At 38.6% G+C, this 23,650-nt stretch overlaps 1 protein-coding gene across 21 annotated transcripts in view, besides 2 other annotated features; it reads right to left on the bottom strand.

Moving 5' to 3' along the window:
- The window catches only part of KDM4C (lysine demethylase 4C), a 454,786-nt gene that overhangs the window by 214,347 nt on the left and 216,789 nt on the right, over positions 1-23,650 (bottom strand). The window lies entirely within an intron of this gene.
- Positions 489-588: an enhancer, noted in NCBI's record as "active region_28210". NCBI's record gives its function as "activates an Ori minimal core promoter by ATAC-STARR-seq in GM12878 lymphoblastoid cells {active_cell/tissue: GM12878}" and the evidence as "EXISTENCE:reporter gene assay evidence [ECO:0000049][PMID:35858748]".
- Positions 20,737-21,237: an enhancer, noted in NCBI's record as "H3K27ac hESC enhancer chr9:6940065-6940565 (GRCh37/hg19 assembly coordinates)". NCBI's record gives its function as "activates a minimal SCP1, AML or CMV promoter by ChIP-STARR-seq in primed H9 embryonic stem cells {active_cell/tissue: H9 hESC(primed)}" and the evidence as "EXISTENCE:reporter gene assay evidence [ECO:0000049][PMID:30033119]".

Genomic DNA, 23,650 nt, shown 5'->3' with positions numbered 1-23,650 from the left:
CTAGTAACATGATGACAAGACTGTCCTCCATAATTACCACTGGATAATTATCAAGCCATCCTTTTCTATTTCATGACTATTAGGCTATAGCAATATTTAACTTTTAAAATAAAGGACAACTAATTTTAGATATTACCTTTAGTAAATAAATTTTGTCAAATGTTTGCAAACTCACAATGCTGACATAATATAAACAAACTTGTGTGGCTATTCAAGAGGCACTACATGGTGTTTAAGTGTCAGCCTAAGAAAAAGAAAGTGAATTTGAGAGTGTCCTAGAAGCCACCTCTTGCTGTTCTCCATCACTGAACCCCATGTCGCTCATAAGTAGTCTACTGTTTCACAATGCGTGTATGGATGTCATTTTTCTGTGTGGTTGTCCGTTTCCCACACTAGACTGTAGTGCTCACTAGCCTAGTGGTTCTCAACTGAGGTGATTTTTGCTTCCTAGGGGATATTTGAGAATGCCTGAAGGCATTTCTAAAGGCCAGGATGCTGCTAAAAATGACAATATTGCTGAAGCTGAGAATGTCTGCACTGGGTCTAAGCAACTTGGAGAAAGAGACTGTTTACTGCCTACAAAGGGTGGGCATTCAGATATGGGACAAATGGATACACATGTACATGAAAATTTGTGTCAGTGTGAAATCATCTTTAAACCATCTTTCTCCCTACGACACTCTTTAAAGAACTTCCTTTTTTCCTACTTTCTATGACAATCTTTAAAGAGCTTCCTTTTTATAGGCCACGCACAGTGACTCATGCCTGTAATTCCAGCATTTTGGAAGGCCGAGGTAGGAGGACTGCTTGAGCCCAGGAGTTTTAGACCATCCTGGGAAACAAAGAGAGTGACCCCTAGATGAGTGTGGTGATGCAAGCTTATAGTTCCAGCTACTCAGGAGACTGAGGAGAGAGGATCCCTTGAGCCCAGGAGGTCCAGGCTGCAGTGAGCTATGATTATGCCACTGTACTTCAGCCTGGGTGACAGAGACCCTGTATTTAAAAAAAAAAAAAAAAAATTAAAAACATTTTAAAAGAGCTTCCATTTATCCTTCTTTCAACTGCTTCACAGTCTTTGTGGAATGAAACAGTATATGCATCTGTAATAAATATCAGGACTGCAGCAGTTCTGCCCTGGAGTAGAGAGGGAATGGGGAAAGGAATATTGGCCAAGCTTTTTCTCCATTGTGACTTTGGGAAGGTCTTGACCCCTAAGGAATCTCTCAGGGACTTGGATCAGATGGCCTCTCAGACTTCTGCTTGGGAGGATTACTTTAATCGTTTCTGTATCTACAAGCATTCACTGGATGTAACAGCTTTTCATACGGGCTACACAGTTGTTAGTATGGCAGCAGAGGCCCCTACAGTATTTTATACCACAGCTGTTGTCACTTTCGTAGTAACCATAATCTTAGGTCAGGCTTTTATTTCATTTTAAGAGGCTTTAAATAAGAACATGCCTGGTGATAAATTAAGTTGACAGGCATTTCCTTTTATTACAACTGAAAGGAAGACATATATATCCGTCATGTTATTTGGTGTAAACAACTTATGAGTAGTCATAATTCGTGTAGCCTAACTAGACTACAATTTCACAGAATTAACATGCCATGACTATATACTACAATTCACATACTCTTCTTGAAGTTGTCTTATTAACTATAATATAAACTCTTAAATTGAAACAAATCTATAGAATGACAGTAGATACAAACTTCCTCAGTAAATTTTACCAGTGTAAAAACCTACCAGCTGGCTCTTGCAGTTGCTCAGAGTAAATATGTAGCTTCTGTGTATCAGGTGGCACTATGCTAAGATAACGACAAGCAAGACAGAGTGAGTACACTTAAAATACAATAGGCAGACCAAAGTTCAGAAATCATTCTTCAAGGCATATTCTCCAAGAGCCTCTGACAGGTACCACAGTCTAGTATCTGAAGAAAAGGACAGGGAGGCAAAGAAACAGACCAACACTTTCAAGAGTGAGGGGACTCTGACATCCACTCCTCTAACTATGGTCAAATAAAAAGTAACATCTGGGACTACATGGTGGGACCAGCATGGGGATTTCAAACAGACGATAAAACCATGAAGAAAACTGGGCTCTCTAGTGCTCCTCTTCTCACCTACTTCTTTTAAAAGTAGTGTTTGGGGGTAAATCTACATCAAGCTAAGTCATTTGTTCACTGGGTTCCTGGATATCTCTGAAAAAGGAAGAGAAAACTTGGGCAGGACTATAAATGTTTTATTCTAGGCTCCAGGCTTTAAAAAGGAGGCATAAAAGGAACTTTATGATTTCCTTCTATTGAACCTATCATCTGTGCTCTAATAATATTATCATAACATTACACATAGGCTGGGCATGGTGGCTCACGCCTGTAATCCCAACACTTCGGGAGGCCAAGGCAGGTGGATCGCTTGAGCCCAGGAGTTCGAGACCAGCTTGCATCTATGAAAAACACAAAAATTAGCCAGTGTGGTGGTGCGCACCTGTGGTCCCAACCACATGGGAGGCGGAGGTGGAAGGAGATGGAGGTTGCAGTGAGCCATGAACATGCCACTGCACTCTAGCCTGGGTAACAGAGTGAGACCCTGTCCCAAAAAAAAAAAAAAATCATATAAAGAAAGGCATAATGTATTTTTAACATTATAGCCAAACTACTAGGGGGAAAAAGTAAATATTCCTTACTCAGTGTGATACGATTTTTTTTTTTTCAGACAGAGTCTTGCTCTGTTGCCCAGGCTGGAATGCAATGGCGCGATCTCGGCTCACCACAACCTCTGCCTCCCTGGTTGGAGCAATTATCCTGCCTCAGCCTCCCAAGTAGCTGAGATTACAGGTGCATGCCACCATGCCCAGCTAATTTTTTTGTATTTTTAGTAGAGACAGGGTTTCACCATGTTGGTCAGGCTGGTCTCGAACTTCTGGTCTCAGATAATCCACTCATCTTGGCCTCCCAAAGTGCTGGTATTACAAGCGTGAGCCACCGCACCGGCCTCAATGTGATATAATTCTTATCCTTAGCTGCTGTCACAGTAGTTAAATAATTTCTAGTAAAAATACTATTGTATTATTATTAATTGTTTGACAAGACTGCAGAGTTAACAGGTGAAAGACGGCATTGTGAGTCACTTTTGGAAACACCTGGTTGGAGAAAAACTTTCTGTCCCTGCAATAAAAAGAGTATCTACAAGCAATTATTAAAAAAAAAAAAAAGCTACTTTGCTGAAGCAAACCCTCAGTTGTTATAACTAATGTTTATATGTCTACAATTGTTCTCTCCCTCGGAGAAGCAATATACTTGGAGGTCACACCGTCTCACCACCCAACTTCTCCATGGCCCTCAAACACGGATTCTACAGGCTTTCGATAACACTGTTTATTATTACCATCATCAATTAAAAATATATGTACTCGAATTGTGTTTTATTGTCCATGAACATGAGGTTCAGGAGGGTTAGGCAGTTTGCACAAGGGTTTCTAGCCAAGAAGCAAGAGGGCCAGTATGCAGACCCAGCTCTCTGATTCTGGAGCTGAGTGCATGCCATGTTTTCACCCCCTCCCCACCACCCTGGCTTGACATGGCTCCTGCTATAACATGAACACCCAGACCCACTCCTGGTTCCATTTCACAAACAACACAATTGTGCAACCAATAGAAAATATCAGTCACAACACAGAGAAACAGCAGCCTCCACGTTTGATCTCTTATGGTGGTGGTGGTGACCTACCAGTATTCTCCGACAATGTCGCTGCCACTACCACTGTGGCTGCTATTACTGCAGAAAAAAAAAAATTACCTAATATCATGGTGGTATTAACAAGCTCTAAAAGTGGCCAAAAGGCAGGTTTCTTTTCCCTGGAAAGAACAGGGTCCCATAAGAGAGTTTCAATGGAAAGCGAATGCCAAAAACCCTCATAAAAGGCAGGACACAGCTTTCCTTCTTGCAACTAGTCATCTTGTAAAGAAAATAGATGGTAGGGTTAGTGCACAATATTTATAATGAAACATAGAAAAGGACTTGTGATAAAAATAAGTATCAAAAGTGACAACAGGCAGCATTATGCAGAACATAATCTTCCTAAGCAGCTGTGTGCCAGGGAGAATTTGCACATGTGTTTGCAAGGCATTACAAATAAAACAGCTTATGCCAGAGTCATTATTTTCTACCTCTAGATAATGCAGCTTGAAAAATATCACAAACAGAAGATAATGGCTCATATTAATCAGCCCCACTATGAAGTGGGTCAGCAAAGCCAGCTGGTCCCTTGTCCATCGTAACCAAATGTAAGAGCTGCAACTGTGAGAAAGACTGCAACTTAACACTGCCTGACCAGTAAGACACTATTTCAGAAACAGAACCAAGCCAGAGGATGGCAGAGAAGGCTTCAGTACCAGAGACACTACCAGAAACTATAGCGCTCCAGCTGAGCTCTGAAGCCAAAGAAATGGATACCCTACTATGCCTTGATAAAAGAAAGATTCTGCTACCAAAAAACATAAAGCATGCCAGCTGGTTAATCACCTAAGCTGCACAGACAACATCTAAATACATGAGGTCCCTGGGCCTGGTCAGACCTCATAAAGAAGGGATTGGTGATATCTTTCTGTAAAAATATTTTAGGCTCTGTGTATTATATGATCTTTTGTCACAACCACTCAAGTCAGCCATTGTAGTACAAACGCAACCTTAGATAATACATAAACAAATGAGCATGGCTGTGTCCCAAAATAATGTTATTTACAAATACAGGCAGGGGGGTATAGTGTGCCAACCCAACTTAGAAATGGAGTTTCAGAAAAACAGGTGAGGTGACATTTGACCCTTTTAGTGGGCAACAAACACCAATTACAAGATAGCCTTCGTCCGCACCCACATTACAATTTTTTTTAATTTTTTAAATTTTTATGGGTACTTAGTAGGTGTGTATATTTGTGGAGTACATAAGGTGTTTTGATACAAGCATGCAATGTGAAATAAGCACATCATGGGGAATGGAGTATCCATCCCCTCAAGCATTTATCCTTTGAGTTACAAACAATCCAATTACACTCTTGAAGTAGATTTTTAAATGTACAATTAAGTTATTATCGACTATAGTCACCACATTGTGGTATCAACTAGTAGATCTTATTAAATCTATTTTTTTGTACCCATTAACCATCCCCACCTCCCCATCACCACCCCCAACTACCCTCCTCAGCCTCTGGTAACCATCCTTCTACCATGTCCATGAGTTCAATTCTTTTGATTTTTAGATCTCATAAATAAGTGAGAACATGTGCACACTGCAGTTTCTGAAGGAACTAAAACACACTCTGGAAATGAGGCAGAGGCAGAGGTGGCACAGTTCTGTTGTATTTCCAACCCTAGCTAAAGACAACTGGTTGTATTGTGCTCTTTTACTAGCATTATAAAGATTGAGAACAATTTTGTACTAGACAAAGCGTCACTGTGTTCCATCTGCGGTTAGTGACTTGCTCTGGAAATTAAAGTTAATACATCAAATTCTGAGACACTTTGATACAGAGTGTGTATTTTTCTCCACAACTGAGTTAACTGACTTGGTACTGCTCATAAGGCAAATGTGGCAAGGAGCCAAAAGATTATAACTATTTTACATAAGAAGAAAGGGAAAAGCTGAAAAAATTTCAAGCGCCAAACGTTAAAAGCCATCATGCCATTAATCAGAGGCTGGTCACGTTTTCCTTTTCTAGAGTCATACTTCGATAAAGCTGCGGCACAGATTCCATGCAAATATGCAGGCAACACAATAAGAGGGCTGAATGATTATGTGAATCCAGATCAAAGGCATCCTTCTCTGCTCTTGGAAAAGGGGCCTCTATACTCAGCTCTGCAGGGCCTGAGTCATGGTCCACTGCACTGCATGAAAAACAAAGGGTGAACCAAGGACAAGAAACAAAACAGCAAACAGCTTTGTCTCTATTCAAAGGTAAAACCAAAACCTACTGACACAACTGTGCATTGGGCATTTCATCTCTCTGTGCCTTACCCCACCTAAGGAACTGATTACCTCTTTCTCCTATCACTGACCAAAAACTGATACTATTAAAACTCTGTCCACTCCTACCACCCCACAGTAGAAGAATTTCTGCTAAAATATAGAGAGGCATTCAGATCTTGGCTCTAGTCTGGAAGCCCAAAGGCTTTCACCATCCAGTAACCAGCAATGGACCTTTTATGCTCCCAGGAGATGCACCTGTTCCTGAAGGGGAGGAAGAGGGGTCTAGCCACAAAATTCCTTTAGTACATCATTGTTCACGTTAGCAAACTAATAAAGAGTTCCCACTCTTCCAACAGAAAGTCCCTGATGCCTCCTGCAGTACTAGAGACTGAAGCAAAATAATTAGTATCGGATTCTGGCCTTTAATTCCCAATTTGCAATATTCTGTTCCTGGTCAAATTACTTAACCCTAAATGGAACTAAACAAGAATTTTCTGAATTTGCCAAATACTAAAACCCATGAAATAGGGAGTGGGTACATGAAGTCTGCCCATTCAGAGATTCTCAACTGACCTGACAATAGTTACTGGCTTTCACTCTCCATTGTTGGGCTAGGTACTTTTAAGAAGTTACATAGAATGCTAAATCATTTAAATTAGAATATCTTAGCCTTGTAAAAGCTGCCTTTCACAATTTCCTCAAAGCTATGAATCCAAACTCCAGAAACCTGCACATTATTAACATATATAAGAATTTTTCATATAATTTTATAGATAGATCAATAAGGCCTCTCCTTGGTCCCCAGGCTAACACATCGTGAACAGACAAATAAAAAGATCATGTCTGAGACTTGTCAAGAGTAGCTACCAGAATAGTTCATTGTCAATAAAATCCTTCATTTTATTCAATATAACAAACAATTATGAGCTGATGGGTGCAGGAATTGTGCAGAGTTCTACGAAAATACAGACATAATTAATTATACCATAGCCCCACTCTTCCAGGAACATAAAAACAAACATACTATGAAGACATTGACGTGACCGAGTACTAAGCAGACATTCCAAGAGTCTCAGGAGAAAAGAGGAGAAAGTCATATTGCATGGGAAAGGCAGCCCTGCTGTTTGAACTAGACACTGAAAGATATATAGGATCAGAATCCTATGTATCTGTGTACGAAGGGACAGAAGACATGGAGGAGACAATTCACCTGAGAATGTATACTGCCTGACTGGTTTGATGTGAGCATAGAATGAGGTGAAGTATCCATGAATGCAGTGAAGGAAGAGAAAGCAAAGAAGTCCTATGCGCAAGGTTTGCTGACCCCCGACAGCTACTTCTGAAACCTCAGAGAGGCTGAAAAGGTAAATTCAAGATGAAGACTTTAATATAAAAACTAGGTATGTGGTGACTTTGGAGAGCAAATTCAGCTAAATGGTTGGAAGAGGAACCAGATTTCCAAGGGTCAAGAAGTGAATATGTAATGATGATGAGGCAGCAGGAAGCAGAGAATACCATTCAAGTTTGGGAGAAGAAAATAGGGATGATATGGTGGCATATTAGGAAAATCAGTGTATTCACTATTACTCATAACTAATTCTATAGTTGACGTTTTTAAAAATCCTCCGTTCTCTCAAAGGTCACAAATCATATCTGAGGATCAGCAAGAAAAGGTCCACATGAATTGGTAAAATATTTGTATAACATGGTACACTGAGACTTTTATTTGAAACAAAATATTACTCCCTTAAATACACATTATTTTCAAAATGAGCTATCAAAATCAATTTTATATTTCATATTCTAATAAAAGAAAGCTTTATAGTCTAGGCAGCTTAGAACAGCCTCCAGAGCAATTTGAAAGACAAAGAGATTGATCAGATTATTGCATTGCAAGTATTAAATGTTTCTTTTGAAAATAAATGCAAACAGCCAAGTTAATTCAAACCATAGGTCAAAGCAGAATAAATTATGTTTAAATCTCTCAATTTCATCTTCAAAAAATAAAGGCGGGAAAGCCTTTACTCCATGAGAATCAAAACTGCTGAATAAGCTGGTGATTAAATACACAGACCACTCTATATTTCAAGTGAGAACACTCAGGCTGTCTTGTTTGAGTGAAAGGGAGATGTCTGATGCTTTTCATAATAAATATCCATTCATAAAATAAGCTAAAATGAACAAAAAAGATCTACTGCCTACTCCAGCTATTTTACAGAGAAACGTTGGCAAGGAATTTTCTAACATCTAAAATAGTAAAGTATCAATTAATCATGAAAATGGCTCAGATAATGCATTACATTTTATCATATTCATTCTGCTGCCTTAAACCATTTTTAAAATGACATCACATAAAAATGCAAGTACCAGTCATTTAAAGAAGTAAAATCTTTAAAAATATTAGATCTCCCTCCCCCGACTGCAAACCGTGCTCACTGTACAAATGTTGAGTAACAAGGACTATCATAAAGAAAATAACAACCACTTATAGAGAACCACATTTAACCTATTTATCTTACGTTCATCTTTCTAAGAGCACTTATGTCACTGGAACAAATACTGCACATGATCTTTCTTTTAAAACATACTCTGGGGCCGGGCACAGTGGCTCACACCTGTAATCCCATCAGTTTGGGAGGCCAAGGCAGGTGAATCAACTGAGGTCAGGAGTTTGAGATCAGCCTGGCCAACATAGTGAAACCCCGTCTCTACTAAAAACACAAAAATCAGCCAGGCGTGGTTGTGGGTGCCTGTAATCCCAGCTACTTGGGAGCCTGAGGCAGGAGAATAACTTGAACCCAGGAGGCAGAGGTTGCAGTGAGCCGAGATCGTGCCACTGCACTCCAGCCTGGGCAACAAAGTGAGACTCCATCTCAAAAAAACATATAATAATAATTATTATTATATATATATATATATATACACACATACACACTGTGAACAATTTCCCATATCAGTAAGTATTGGCCTAACAACATTACTGAATGGTTTCATACTCTTTTCCTATAAAACTGTACCACGATTGATTTATTTATCTAACCCTTTACTCTTGGACATAGGCGTACCATCAGGTTGCTTTGCTTTGCTGTTTTAAATAACTCTATGTTAAACATCTTTACATATACCAATAACTATTTCTAAATCCTTAGATCAACTTTTCAGAAATAAAATGTCAGGTTGTAGGGGGTGCATTTTGTAATTTTTCACACATTTTCCTCAAATTTCCTTTCATAAAGATTAAATCAGTTTACAGTATCATCAACAATGTATTTTTTAAGCCCATTTAAGTTCAGCCTTATAAACTCTGGTTATTATATTTTTTAAATATGAGCTAAGTAACAGCAGGGTCAATTTTCAAAAATCACACTGCCATACCCCAATATTAAAGGCATAAAGAGAAAAAAAAATTTAAAACTTAAAATGACAAAAGATCAATTATCATAATCATATATTTATAACGTGTCATTTAAATAATATTGCTATTGTTTTCATGACTTCATACCCAATTCACATACAAAGTACTAAGTGAAGTAAATCATACAAATTTTTCTCTTTTAATTATAAATGAATTTGGGCATCTCTATGCTACATGATTAAATGCATGAAATAGGACAATGACAGTCAAATTCTCAATACAGTTAAGTGTTTTCCCAAAGTTATGTCTAAACTGTATACCATGGGTAATTGTCCTGTTATAATTATCTGTAGATTGCACAGAGTTTAACACTCGGCTTAAATGGTCAGTTCTGGTTACAAGAGATACTCAATAGCCCCCACCATAAATACACACTCTTAACTCCTGTTCCCAAGACATTCCTCTTTTTCATAGAAAGCCGACTCCCAACAAAAAACAAAATGCAACTAGTGGTGCCCATAATCTCATGGGATGTATCAGTCTCCATAAGGGCACCAGAATGTAATCAGATCATGACTAGAAGAAACTGATACTGGGCTTCAGAGTCCAGAAGACAGAGTTTATTATCAGGTTTTAATTTATAACTCAAAAGCATATAAGGACAGGGAGAGATGTGTTAAAGGATACAAAGTTACAGCTAGATAGAAGCAATAAGTTCTAGTGTTCCATACCACTGTAGGATGACTATAGTTAATAGAAATATATAATTTCAAATAGCTAAGAAAGAAGACATTGAATGTTCCCAACACCAAGAAATGATAAGTGTTTGAGATGATGGGTATGTGAATTACCCTGACTGATCACTATAAATTGTATGTATTAAAACATCACTATGTACCCAATGAATATGTACAATTATTGTCAAGTTAAAAAAAAATTAATAAAATAAAATTTAAAAATGTTAAAGAATGAATAAATGAATGCCTCCCTTCAGAGATGGCAAAGAATAAGTACTGTAAAGCTATTCCTCCTCCCCCCAAAATTCAAGTATTTTCTGTTATCTGAAACATTTAAGGAAAGGTTCATGGCATGACTACTAAGGATCTGAGATTTTAACTCAGCCACAGCTTTTTGGTAGAGCAGTCAAAGAAAAGATACTGAACCGGATGAACCATGAAAAGGCATATGCACCTCCTTAAAGGTATTTATTAGTTAGTTAACCATAAAAAAGTATGCTTTCTCTCCCTGAAAACTTCAACTTTTATGTAAATGATAATAAGCAGCTACAATAAACGTTATCAGGAGGGAACATTGGCTAGCTAGAAGAGCTAGTTTTGAGTTTAATCAGTATTAATAAACAGAATACAGAGATAATCTCACTTAAACCAGCATTTGATGATCATCTAATTGCTAAGGGACAATGAGGCAGCTTAAATTTGCTTTGAATTTAGTAGGGATCCATATTAACAACTGTCCAGTACAGGTTTTCACATAAATACTTCCCCTCAAATCTATCAACACTCTAAAATCTGTATGGATGAATTTACCCCATACCTAGAGGCTGCACTCTCAAAGACAGGGAAAAATAAAACCAAAAACAAAAAAGCCTAGATCAGTGTAATTTTCTTCATTCTAAACATAGATTTCTACTTACCATGATTATTTAAAATGCCAACATTAACAAACACAAGGGAAAAATCATAATGAACTATAGAAAGAATAGTTCACATCAATAAAACCTCTGGAAAGGAGAATTTAAGGTTCAAGACAACCTTCTATAATAAAATTTGCTAATCATTTCAAAATATTTATGCATCTCAAAACATCACATTGTATGCTGTAAATACATACCATTTTTATTTGTCCACTATATCTCAATAAAGCTTGAGGAAAAAAAAAAACAAGAAAAGATACTCCACCAAAAAAAAAAAAAAAACCAGCCACATGGGTGGCCAGAGAAGTTTCAAAAGTTAACTATGAAGAAATGTGACTCCTTGGGCTAAATAAGCTAGTTATACTTGAGCCTTAAATCAATTAATGCAGGGATCTCAAAAATCCAGAAAGAACATCAATTTATCTCTGATTCTTTGGCTTCATTAACAAAAAAAATGGTCCCTCTCCCTCTCCCCACGGTCTCCCTCTCCCTCCACGGTCTCCCTCTGATGCCGAGCCGAAGCTGGACTGTACTGCTGCCATCTCCGCTCACTGCAACCTCCCTGCCTGATTCTCCTGCCTCAGCCTGCTGAGTGCCTGCGATTGCAGGCGCGCGCCGCCACGCCTGACTGGTTTTCGTATTTTTTTTGGTGGAGACGGGGTTTCGCTGTGTTGGCCGGGCTGGTCTCCAGCTCCTAACCGCGAGTGATCTGCCAGCCTCGGCCTCCCGAGGTGCCGGGATTGCAGATGGAGTCTCGTTCACTCAGTGCTCAATGGTGCCCAGGCTGGAGGGCAGTGGCGTGATCTTGGCTCGCTACAACCTCCACCTCCCAGCCGCCTGCCTTGGCCTCCCAAAGTGCCGAGATTACAGCCTCTGCCCAGCCGCCACCCCGTCTGGGAAGTGAGGAACGTCTCTGCCTGGCCACTCATCGTCTGGGATGTGAGGAGCCCCTCTGCCCAGTCTGGGAAGTGAGGAGCGCCTCTTCCCGGCCGCCATCCCGTCTAGGAAATGAGGAGCGTCTCTGCCCGGCCACCCATCATCTGGGATGTGAGGAGCGCCTCTGCCCGGCCGCAACCCCGTCTGGGAGGTGAGGAGCGTCTCTGCCCGGCCGCCCCGTCTGAGAAGTGAGGAGCCCCTCCGCCCGGCAGCCACCCCGTCTAAGAAGTGAGGAGCCCCTCCGCCCAGCAGCCGCCCCGTCTGGGAAGTGAGGAGCGTCTCCACCCGGCCAGCCGCCCCGTCCGGGAGATGGGGGGCGCCTCTGCCCAGCCGCCCCTTCTGGGAAGTGAGGAGCCCCTCTGCCCGGCCGCCACCCCGTCTGGGAGGTGTACCCAACAGCTCAATGAGAACGGGCCATGATGACGATGGCGGTTTCGTCGAATAGAGAAGGGGGAAATGTGGGGAAAAGATAGAGAAATCAGATTGTTGCTGCATCTGTGTAGAAAGAAGTAGACATAGGAGACTCCATTTTGTTCTGTACTAAGAAAAATTCTTCTGCCTTGGGATCCTGTTGATCTATGACCTTACCCCCAACCCGGTGCTCTCTGAAACATGTGCTGTGTCCACTCAGGGTTAAATGGATTAAGGGCGGTGCAAGATGTGCTTTGTTAAAAAGATGCTTGAAGGCAGCATGCTCGTTAAGAGTCATCACCACTCCCTAATCTCAAGTACCCAGGGACACAAACACTGCGGAAGGCCGCAGGGTCCTCTGCATAGGAAAACCAGAGACCTTTGTTCACTTGTTTATCTACTGACCTTCCCTCCACTATTGTCCTATGACCCTGCCAAATCCCCCTCTGCGAGAAACACCCAAGAATGATCAATTAAAAAAAAAAAAATGCAAACAGCACACTAAAAAAAAAAAAAAAATGAGGAAAGTGTCATATCATCACCATGTCAATACTATTTGCCTTTCTACAAGGTCACTTTTATAAGTACGTATATTTAGAACGAAATCCTACTGTTCAGATAAATATCTACTATAAGAAAAGGTACTGCATTTCTGCTTAAGAGTTATTTGAAACTAACAAATGCCACCAAAGGAATGGCAGGATGATTCAAGTAGTTTTGCAAATTTATTCATATTAATAAGAAATAACTGTGTAAGTCACAAAACAGTTAATGTTCTTTAATGCAGTTAGTAATGCTTCAGATTATAAATTTCAAAGACTGATTCTACAGTTAATATCAAATAGGTGATTATCTCTTCAGATGTAACCATAAAAATTGGGATTCAATATACAAAGCTGAATTCTGATTCAAGTGAATAAAGTGACACACACTGCAGCATCTCACCTAGAAAAAAACAGGAAATCAAATTACACTTAGAAGAATAAGGAGAAGTATATCTGTTTTGAATAAGGGACATATACGAGACTGACAAACCAATAAAAAAGAAATGAAAACCCAGACAAAAATGCAAATGGTTATAAAAGTGTACAGCAATGGTTCTCAGTTTTCATACACATTATAATCTCCTAACAAGCTGGTAAAAAAAAAATATCAAGGAACAAGCCACACACCCAAGATTCTGACTTACACCAGGATGGGCCCCAATACTGATTAAAAACTCCCTAGATGATTCTAAAGCACAGCCATATTAGAAAATGACAAATAGATTAGGGATAAACTGGATTCAGGTTATTTGAAACAATTTCAAGTAAACAATTTGAAATTCAAGGACCTAGAGGAAAACTAAGTTGGTCTCGGCCTCATACCATACAATGAAAACAATACTAGATGGGTTTACAAAAAAATTATAAAATTTTTAAAAATCTAAATGACCATGACTATAACATTGTAATATACAAAGCCTTTCTGAGCATAAAACAAAATGCTGAATAAAGACAATAAGAAAGAAGACTGGTAGTTATGATTAACCTTATCTAAACAAACAGCTCTTCTTATAGGCATTAAGAAAGCATTAATGCTAACAGGAAAATGAAATATAAAGGACAAAAAGGAAAGAATTTTAAAAACATAAAATGACTACTAAAGATGAGAAATGTTCAGTTTCTCATGTAAATAAATGTATTGAAAAATTTCCATTCTTTACCAATAAAATTAGAAAAAAATAGCTTTCACATCTAGAGCTATTTAGAGTACAAAAAATCAGAACAGAAGTACGGTTGTAGAAACTCTAAGGTGACATTCTTCAGAGAAATTTGGCGCAAGTGAATGTAAACACCTCCCAGAGATTACACTGGGAAGGACCTAGAAATGTATTCACATGGCTATATTTGTTTTTGTTAATTTACAAAAGTACGACATTTTCATTTGATTCTGTTAAACACCCCCTGACCTCTTCCATAATAATCCTTCCCTTCACTATGACTTAGACCAGTTGGGATCAGAGGAGCTGCTGGAATATTTGGGATCTGGCCAAGAAGCAAATGAAGTGAGATGCATTTATTTTGAGTTTAGAGATAAATTTTAATTTATAAATAATAAAAAGGCAAAAACAAAAGAAAAAAGGAAACAAAAAATAATGTTTTAGAATTATTTAATAATTCAATTAAAGAGTGAAAAAGACAAGTTTTCTGCTGATTGAACATAAAATGGCATTAAAAAATGTAAAAGAAAATTCATAATGAACTATAGAAAGAACATGAGTGACATACTGATTATAAACTCAGAGTATATTCAATATATTCAAATATTATTCACTGTGTATGCACACAGACAACATAAACACACGCACATAAACAAACACCTTGAAAAGTCTCAAAATATTACAACTCACATATCACAGAAACTTGGTAGAGATTTACCCTAAATGTGGATAACAATCCTAAAAATCTGCATGGCATACAAATACCAAGTTGTGACAATAAAAGAAATGTTTTAAAACTATAAGTAATGCTCTCCAAAAATATGTTAAATAAATCAAAAACTGAATCACCTTGCCATATTCTCTTCAGAAATATTACAAAATTACTGCGATGTGAAGAGGAGATCAATAATAGGTAGGAACAAAAAGTAAAGAAAAATGTCACGGAGGTGTGTCAGGTACATCTCTATATAATTAATAAAAAATAAAATTAAAATATGGTATTGATATATTAGCAGAACCCCACTTTACATATCTTACTTTCGAAGTCAGAAAATGCAGTAAGCATAATTTCTTTAAATATAGATTGTCAAAATCTCTCCATGTATAGTATCAATTGCAACTACTTCATCTCCAATCCATATGATCCACTAACCCCCTTGATTACACAAGCAATACCATAGGATCATTCTCATCTAATGACAAATGAAGTGACTGGACATAACTCATTCAATTTTTCATACCAAGGAATTCATGCAAATTTACATTCATTTACCACAACTGAATTCTCATTTGAATGGTATAAATTTTGCCATAAAATACCAATAGAAAAGACATCTGGACCAAATAAAATATCATAAAATCTGTGAGTTCCAACTGTGCTGCTTCTGATTTCTATGGAATTAAGTACAGACAGCCCAGTCCCTTCCATGACCAGGAAAAGTTTAAGCAAACATTAAAAACACATTTTGCATAAGATTCAAGACCTTAACATGTTAAGATTATTTCCACTATCTTGAAAAATATTAATAAGTACCTTAGATTAAAAGCCAAGCTCAATCAGTTACTATTGTCTATATGTAGTAAAATCCTGGTTTTAAATGATATTTAAAATCTAAAATATAGTTAAATTCACACAAATATTATCTCTAAGTAGTAAATTCCATCTATTTTGATAAATTCTCAGATTATAAATTTAGTAGCCCCATCTTTAATTTTCTCAAGTAGATCCTACTTAAAAGATGATTTTGTCAAAATTAATTAATTTAAGCTTACAACACTTTCTCCCTAATCATGAGTTCAAGATACAAACATTTAGGCAAATAAATATCAACAAAAAATACATCAATGCTACTACTAAATGCTTTATAATCCACAAATTGCTCTGAATTTATGCTACCCAAAATAATATTTATATATACATTTTCACAACCAGGGTGACAGGTAAAATTGGTTTAGTTAATTGTTTCAAAGGAAGGATGAAACTGGTGGTAACAGAAAAAAGATAAATTATATTCATGTTATATTATTGTTTACCTAAGATCAATTGACTAACAAGGAAAAAATGAGAGAGAAAACAAGCTTCCTTGTGTGTAAGCATTTTTATGAGCATGTGAGCATTTTCGTGAGTATGTGTGCGGGTCCACGGGTTCGTGCAGTGAGTAAGAGGTGGAAGGTATGTCTGTGGCTGTGTAGAGCAAGAAAGAGAGTGAGAAGGAGATCACATAAGGTCCCTGGATGATCACAATGTAGAGCAAGACAAAAACAAGATCACTGCATAATCATTGAAACACATGCAAAAATAAGAACACTATACAAACCACAGGAATAACCCAACACCTCTAGTTCCAGCTAATTTGAGTAACTCCCATGTTTTTGCTAATTACACTTTTAGCTTGCTCCAGTCCCCTTGTTGTATAGCTAAAATGAAGATACCAGATCATACAATTGCCCCCACATTCTGCCAGCATCCAATCCAAACCAAAACCACTCTTCTTTGAACCCTTCCCCTAACAATACCTAAGCAAGCCGAAATCTACTAACAAGCTCTTCCTAAGATCAATGGTTCCCTATGCTGTGCTGTTTCCCCTGTTGCACAGAGGCAAAAAAAAAAAAAAAAAAAAAACCTCTACCTTGACAAAAAGTGTGTTGCTGGTGGATTTTAGAGGACATTTACAGAAAGAATATTCAAGTTAAATTTTTATCCCTAAGTAACCTATATATTTAACTTTCACAATGAAAATGAGTGCCAAAATACACAGCAGTTTTCATGTATTTGATCATACCCTAATTTAGGTGATGAAAGCAAAAAGATGTGAGCCAAAATCTAATGAGTCACCAAAAGACATGCTGCAGCTCTTTTGAACAATGTACTCAAACTATTAAAAGGAAGTGCCATTCCAGAACTGATGTGCATGAAATCCTGCAAATGAAAAGCAATTTGGAGAACAGAGTTTAACACCCCAGCTTCCAGACAATTAAAGGATAAACTACCACTGTAATATTAAGCACTTCCTGCACTGCCTAGGCCTTCTGAATCTGGCATAAGTTCAAATGCAAGGATGTTCAATCAATAAAGATAATAAATTCAGATGCCAATTCAACAGCACCCTCTGCTTGCAGATAATTTAATTTCATTTAAGAGGATTTCCTAACCCAACACATAATTCGACAAAATCTATCTTTTAAATTATGAAGCTAATGTAACCCATTTAAGATATATAAATTTAAGCTAACCAGAAGGAATACATTATGACATTTTTACATTTAAATAGGCCCGACATGACTGAAAATTAGCAAGGATCCAGGTAAAAGTCTGTCTGGAGTTTGACACTGATCTCCTGGCAGCAAGGCATAGCAAAGTGAATCTCAGAATTTAGCAAGCATGAGAAACATCTGGGGACCCTGTAAAAAAAGATTCTGGCTTAATGATTATTCAAGTGAGGCCCAGAAATCTGCATTCTTGACAAACATTTCAGTTGTTCTGACACAGAAGGCCTTCCATTCCCACTTCTACACAATGCAGTAAAGTATTCTATAGCAGCAGACTAAAGTGTTTCCACTGGGGCAGATAATTATTTGTGCAACCTTTTTTTTTTTTTTTGAGACAAGATTTCCCTATGTCGCCCAGACTGGAGTGCAGTGGGGCAATTATGGCTCACTGCAGTTTTGACCTCCTGGGCTCAAGCAATCTTCCCACCTCAGCCTCCCAAGTAGCCAGGACCAGAGGCACACGCCACCATGCTCAGCTAACGTTACCCAGGCTGATCTAGAACTCCTGGGCTCAGGCGATCCTCCCCACTAGGCGTCCTGAAGTGCCAGGATTACAGGCAAGAGCCACTACACCTGGCCCTTATTTGTGCAATTTTAAAGTGGTGTTTTATCCAAAGAGAAATGCGAAGTTTGTAAAATAATTTTCCTCAAATGATAATGACTTCAAAAGACTTACAAATCTTTACAGAAAATAAATTAACTACTTAACATCTATGCTCTAAAAATGACTATAAATATTTTTGTAGTTAACAGGAAATCACATTCAATTGTTTCCAACTTGAATAACAGAGGTAAGAAAAAAAAGAATAAAAATCAGTTAAAATTCAATCAGAGGCCAGGCTCAGTACCTCACAAATCCTTTACAATCCCAAAACTTTGGGAGGCTGAGGCAGGAGGATTGCTTGACTCCAGGAGTTCCAGACAGCCAGGGAACCATGGCAAGACCTCGTCTCTACAAAAAACTTAAAAAAAATTATGCGGGCAAGGTGGCACATGGCTGTAGTCGTAGCTACTCAGGAGGCTAAGGTGGGAGGGTCATTTGAAACCAGGAGGTTGGGGCTACAAGGGGCCGTGATCATGCCACTGCACTCAGCCGAGGTGACAGAGTAAAGCCGTCTCAAAAAATAATAATAATAAATTTGATCACAGAGGTAACCACTGCTCAGCATTTAAGACTATCCTTTACTCCCCCTATGCTTCCTTCTATATTCCTTGAGTTTTGCTTCATTATATAAAACATCAAGGTAAAACTGTCAAAGGAAAGGCAGATCACTACTACGTGAAAGCCTTAATTTAAGGAAGTACACAATTGTAATAATTACAGAATCCACAGCCCTAAAACAAAGAAAGACTTGCAGTTAGCTCACAAACCCCACAGGAAGAAGTTTCATAACGGAGGGAAAGCACACATGGAACAGCCTATATTGCATTCAAGCCATCCTGGTAGCAGAAGAGCAGTGGCAGCAGTGACATGCCACTACACGTAACATGCAGATGAGCCCTATCTCATATCAAAGAGGCTGCCATCTTCCTCGTCAACACAGTACTGGAAAGAAACAAAACACAAAATTAAAAAAAAAAAAATAGAAAAAATAGAAAAAAGACAAAGAGGCAGCCATTGGCCTCAGTACCTTACAACCTAGATTCCAGGAAGCTTGAGTGACTTCTAGCTTGGAGGATTAAACACACACACACACACACACACACACACACACACACACACTTTGAGGGCTAGAACATGAGAAAGAAATAGATAAGGCTAAAACAGACATAATAAAATAAAAGGGAAAAGGGAGCCAAATACATGGGTAAGTTTAATAAATTACAAGAAACCAGTTTTATCTTAAAGTTATTGCTCTGCTACTTCACCCAAACACAATGCGGTCAAACCCATTATAACAAAGATGAAAGTATACGCTCTACCAATAACTGCTCTACCAATTTATATTGGAACCCTTTTTAAAAGAGCCCTTTTTAAAAGAGTTTCAAATCATCTGAAGTTTTCAAGACAACATGTAAATCCATATGGTTATGTGAAATCTTGTGATACTCAAACACTGGCAATTAATGTAATTCAAATATTTCTAAGACACTGTGAGGCACCACAGGATACAAACACAGACACATATACACACACACAAGAGAGAGAGAGACACAGACACAGAAACATACACACACACTTGCTCACATCTGCAGGCTGGTCATGCCCTACAGACTCCTAGGTACAGATTACTCCCAGGCTTCCGGGTGAATGTGATGTAGATTCAGCTGAGAATGACCGTGGTAAGGAGCGCATGGCCATCTCTGGCTTGGCTGCCACAACGTCAAGCATGAGGGCAGTGGCATAGATCTGACATTAAGCATCTCATCCATTTCCCTCTCACTCTCAGTTCACATGGCTGCATGCATGCCCTGCCCTCCTGGTAACAGTCAGAGGAAAAGCAAAATTAGATCATTGGCCCTGAAATGTAATATGGTTTTTTTTAGTTGTTATGCTTCATTATTCTATCATATGTTCTGATAATTTGTTTTCATTTAATTTAGGATAATGCACACTTGATTCTAAAATATATGCTCTCTGATAAAGTCTAATATACAGCATCTATAAGAAACAAATTTACAAGAAAAGAACAACCCCATTAAAAGTGGGCAAATGTAAACAGACATTTTCCAAAAGACATACATGCAGTGAATAAACATATGAAAAAAAGCCCAACACCCGTAATCCCAGAACTCTGGGAGGCTGAGGCCGGCAGATCACTTGAGGTCAGGAGTTTGAGACCAGCCCAGCCAATGTGGTGAAACCCTATCTCTGCCACAAATACAAAAATTAGCTGGGCATGGTGGCTTGGGAGGCTGAGGCACAAGAATCGCTTGAACCCAAGAGGCAGAGGTTGCAGTGAGCTGAGATTGTGCCACTGCACTCCAACCTGGATGACACGGCAAGACTTTCTCCAAAAAAAAAAAAAAGGAAGAGATGCCTTCCTCTCTCAAGCATGAGGGAATCAGTCTAAACAGGGTGAATATTTTGAGGTTGCATTATTAAGTAAAGAACAAATATTACACAAAGCTCACCCAATGTAGAGCAGCCAAAAAGAATGATACGTTTTTTTCTTGTAAATTTAAGTTTCTTATAGATGCTGTATATTAGACTTTATCAGAGAGCATATATTTTAGAATCAAGGGTACATTATCCTAAATTAAATGAAAATGATAATGAAATAAAGTTCTGGGAAAGGAATATGGTAGTTACATGTCTTATGATATATGGATACTTACGTGCTGTAAAAAATGAATATTCGGTTCAAATACAATGCTAGTGAAATGTAACAAAAATGACAACTTACATATTTAAATGGTGGCTACGTTTTTTTTCCCACTTTCAATAAAATTATGACATCTTAGAGCTGTAATGACTTTCAAGAATATCTCTGCCTTGTGGATGATTTTAAATTTTTAATATTCAAGTAGCAATTTGCACTGTTATTAATCCTTTAGCATATAGATCTTATTTTTATAGAGGTGGATTAAATGAAAGTTGACACAATTCCCGCAAAGATTTTAAAAGCTATACTCATCTTGTTCTCCAAGGTAGTGACAACAGCGGGCAATAATTGTTCACATTTTGAAGCTCTAATAACATGAAAGTCAGGAATGATTGTCTCAGCTAGGCACAGTGGCTCACACCTGTAATCAAGACCAGCCTGGGCAACATGGCAAAACTCCCTCTCTACAAAAAATACAAAAATTAGCTGGTCATGATGGCACATGCCTGTAGTCCCAGCCACCAGGGAGGCTGAGGCAGGAGGATCACTTGAGCCTGGGAAGTAGAGGTTGCAATAGCCAATACTGCACCACTGCACTCCAGCCTGGGTGACAGAGTGGGACCCTGTTGAAAGAAGAAAGAAAGAAAAGAAGGAAAGAAAGAGAGAGAGAGAAGGAGGGAAGGAGGGAAGGAGGGAAGGAAGGAAAGAAGGAAGGAAGGAAGGAAGGAAGGAAGGAAGGAAGGAAGGAAGGAAGGAAGGAAGGTAGGTAGGTAGGTAGGTTGGTTATTGGATTTAAAGCACATGGGGTAAAAGTAAAAATAAAAAGTGGTTTCTACCCACAGGATAAAGCCAACGTTTTTTACTTAGACTTTCAGTTATTTCCTCTGCCAAGAGTAATTCAATATAAATAACATATATAAATGCCAAGAGAGGGACGGAATCACTTGCTGACCACCCACGTGATAATCTTCAAATGTATCCTTACCAAAGTGTTTAACTTTTAAAACAAGGAACCCTATCATTAATTAGAAACAGACTGCTGCCTATTCTTCAATTTTAAAATATCCATTCTAAAGTAACTATGTGATAGCTCTAAGTAACCATAACCACTGTAACAAAGTATAAGTACCTTTAACATCAACACCCAACTCTACATCCAATCATAATCCCAGCATGCTTTAAGGCAGTGGTCCCCATTCTTTCTGGCACCAGGGACTGACAAATCTGGTGTGGGGTGGTTTGGGGATGATTTAAGCATGTTACATTTATTGTGGACTTTATTTCTATTATTATTACACTGTAATATATAATGAAATAATCACACAACTCACCATAATGTAGAATCAGTGGCGGCCCTGAGCTTGTTTTCCTGCAACTAGGCCATGCCCTCACGGGGGGATGGGAGACAGTGACAGATCATCAGGCATTAGATTCTCATGAGGAGCATGCAACCTAGATCCCTCCCATGTGCAGTTCACAACAGGGTTCACACTCTATGAGAATCTAATACCACCGCTGATCTGACAGGAGGTGGAGCTCAGGCAGTAATGCCAGCGATGGGGAGCAGCTGTACCTGCTGCCCTTGCTAGCTCACCTCCTATGGTGCAGCCCAGTTCCTAACAGGCCACTGGAACCTAACCACAAGCAGTCTGTGGCCTGTTAGGAACTGGGCCACACAGCAGGAGATCTGTGGCTCAGGGGTTGGGGACCCCTGCTTTAAGGAATGTTTACAATCTTTAACATCACTGAACTTTGTCTAATAATGTTAGAAACTACAGACAGAACAACAAATATAATACAATGTTGCTTTGAGTAACAGGTCTATGCATTCCTCATAAATGAAACATGAGTAAGTTAACCTCTATGAAAGAACAATAATATTTTATTATTAGTGTATCTGAAAAATAAATATTTATATAAGAAAAAAATTACCATCTTTCTACTCTCCTCAGACTCTTCTCTTTCCAAATATTCCTAAAACCATGATTTGCATAGCAGAAGTAAAAACCATTTGAAGTTACACAACAGAAGACTGACAAACCACTAAGCCACACACAACTCTTCAAAAGGCTCTGCATTGCTGGAGTGATTTGGAATCTTGTGGTTTCCCAAGGGAAGCTATAAAAATCAGGGAGAATGAAAAGAGTGCTGGCTGAAAAACCAAACAGATGGCTTCACCGACTAAAAAGCCAGCTGAGCTTAGAAGATTGTTCCCATTTAGAGTATCTTCCAAAAACAGCTTCATACGGTCGGTTTTCATTTTCCCATTCTTTGCCACTGTTATACTACTATTCCAGAGTTTGGACAGTAGGAGCAAAATATTAGCTTCCTGTAGAGGAGAACAAAAGACTATTTCTTTTCATCCTCCTAAAAAAGTTTAGAACTGAGCTGCACTCTCTGGGTCATCATGAGCCATCCCCTGGAAATGGGGCTTATACCATGGGAATAAGTGTACACAAATATATTTAACAAATACATATTGCACATAACATATAAATATGTTTTATGTTCATCCTATAATATATATCTATATATTAAATATTATATACACATTCATTCACACAAACATGCAAACATTGGCTGGAGGAGGGCAGTGCAGGTGATCTGGAGCATACCTTGCAAATCTAATTAGTACTAAATTATTCTGTCCCATTTATGTGATATATGTTAGCAATTTGTAAAATATTGAAAGTAACTGACAAAATGATTAATTTTAAACATTTATTCTGGCCGGCCACGGTGGCTCATGTCTGTAATCCCAGCACTTTGGGAGGCCAAGGAGGGCAGATCACCTGAGGTCAGGAGTTCGAGACCAGCCTGGCCAACATGGTGAATCCCCATCGCTACCAAAAATTCAAAAATTAGCTGGCCACAGTGGCGCACTCATGTAGTCCCAGCTACTCAGGAGGCTGGGGCAGGAAAATTGCTTGAACCCGGGAGGCAGAGGTTGCAATGAGCCAAGATCATGCCACTGCACTCCAGCCTCGGCGACAGAGCAAGACTCTGTCTGAAAAAATTAAATTAAATTAAATATAAAGCATTTATTCCACAGGAGAGAAGAAAAAAACAGTGTTCCCAGACCTCAGGA

The sequence above is a fragment of the Homo sapiens genome, chromosome 9 (genome assembly GCF_000001405.40).
Source record: "Homo sapiens chromosome 9, GRCh38.p14 Primary Assembly".
NCBI classification, from domain to species: domain Eukaryota; kingdom Metazoa; phylum Chordata; class Mammalia; order Primates; family Hominidae; genus Homo; species Homo sapiens.
Note: the sequence above shows the minus strand (reverse complement) of the source record. Positions and strands in the feature narration are given on the sequence as shown.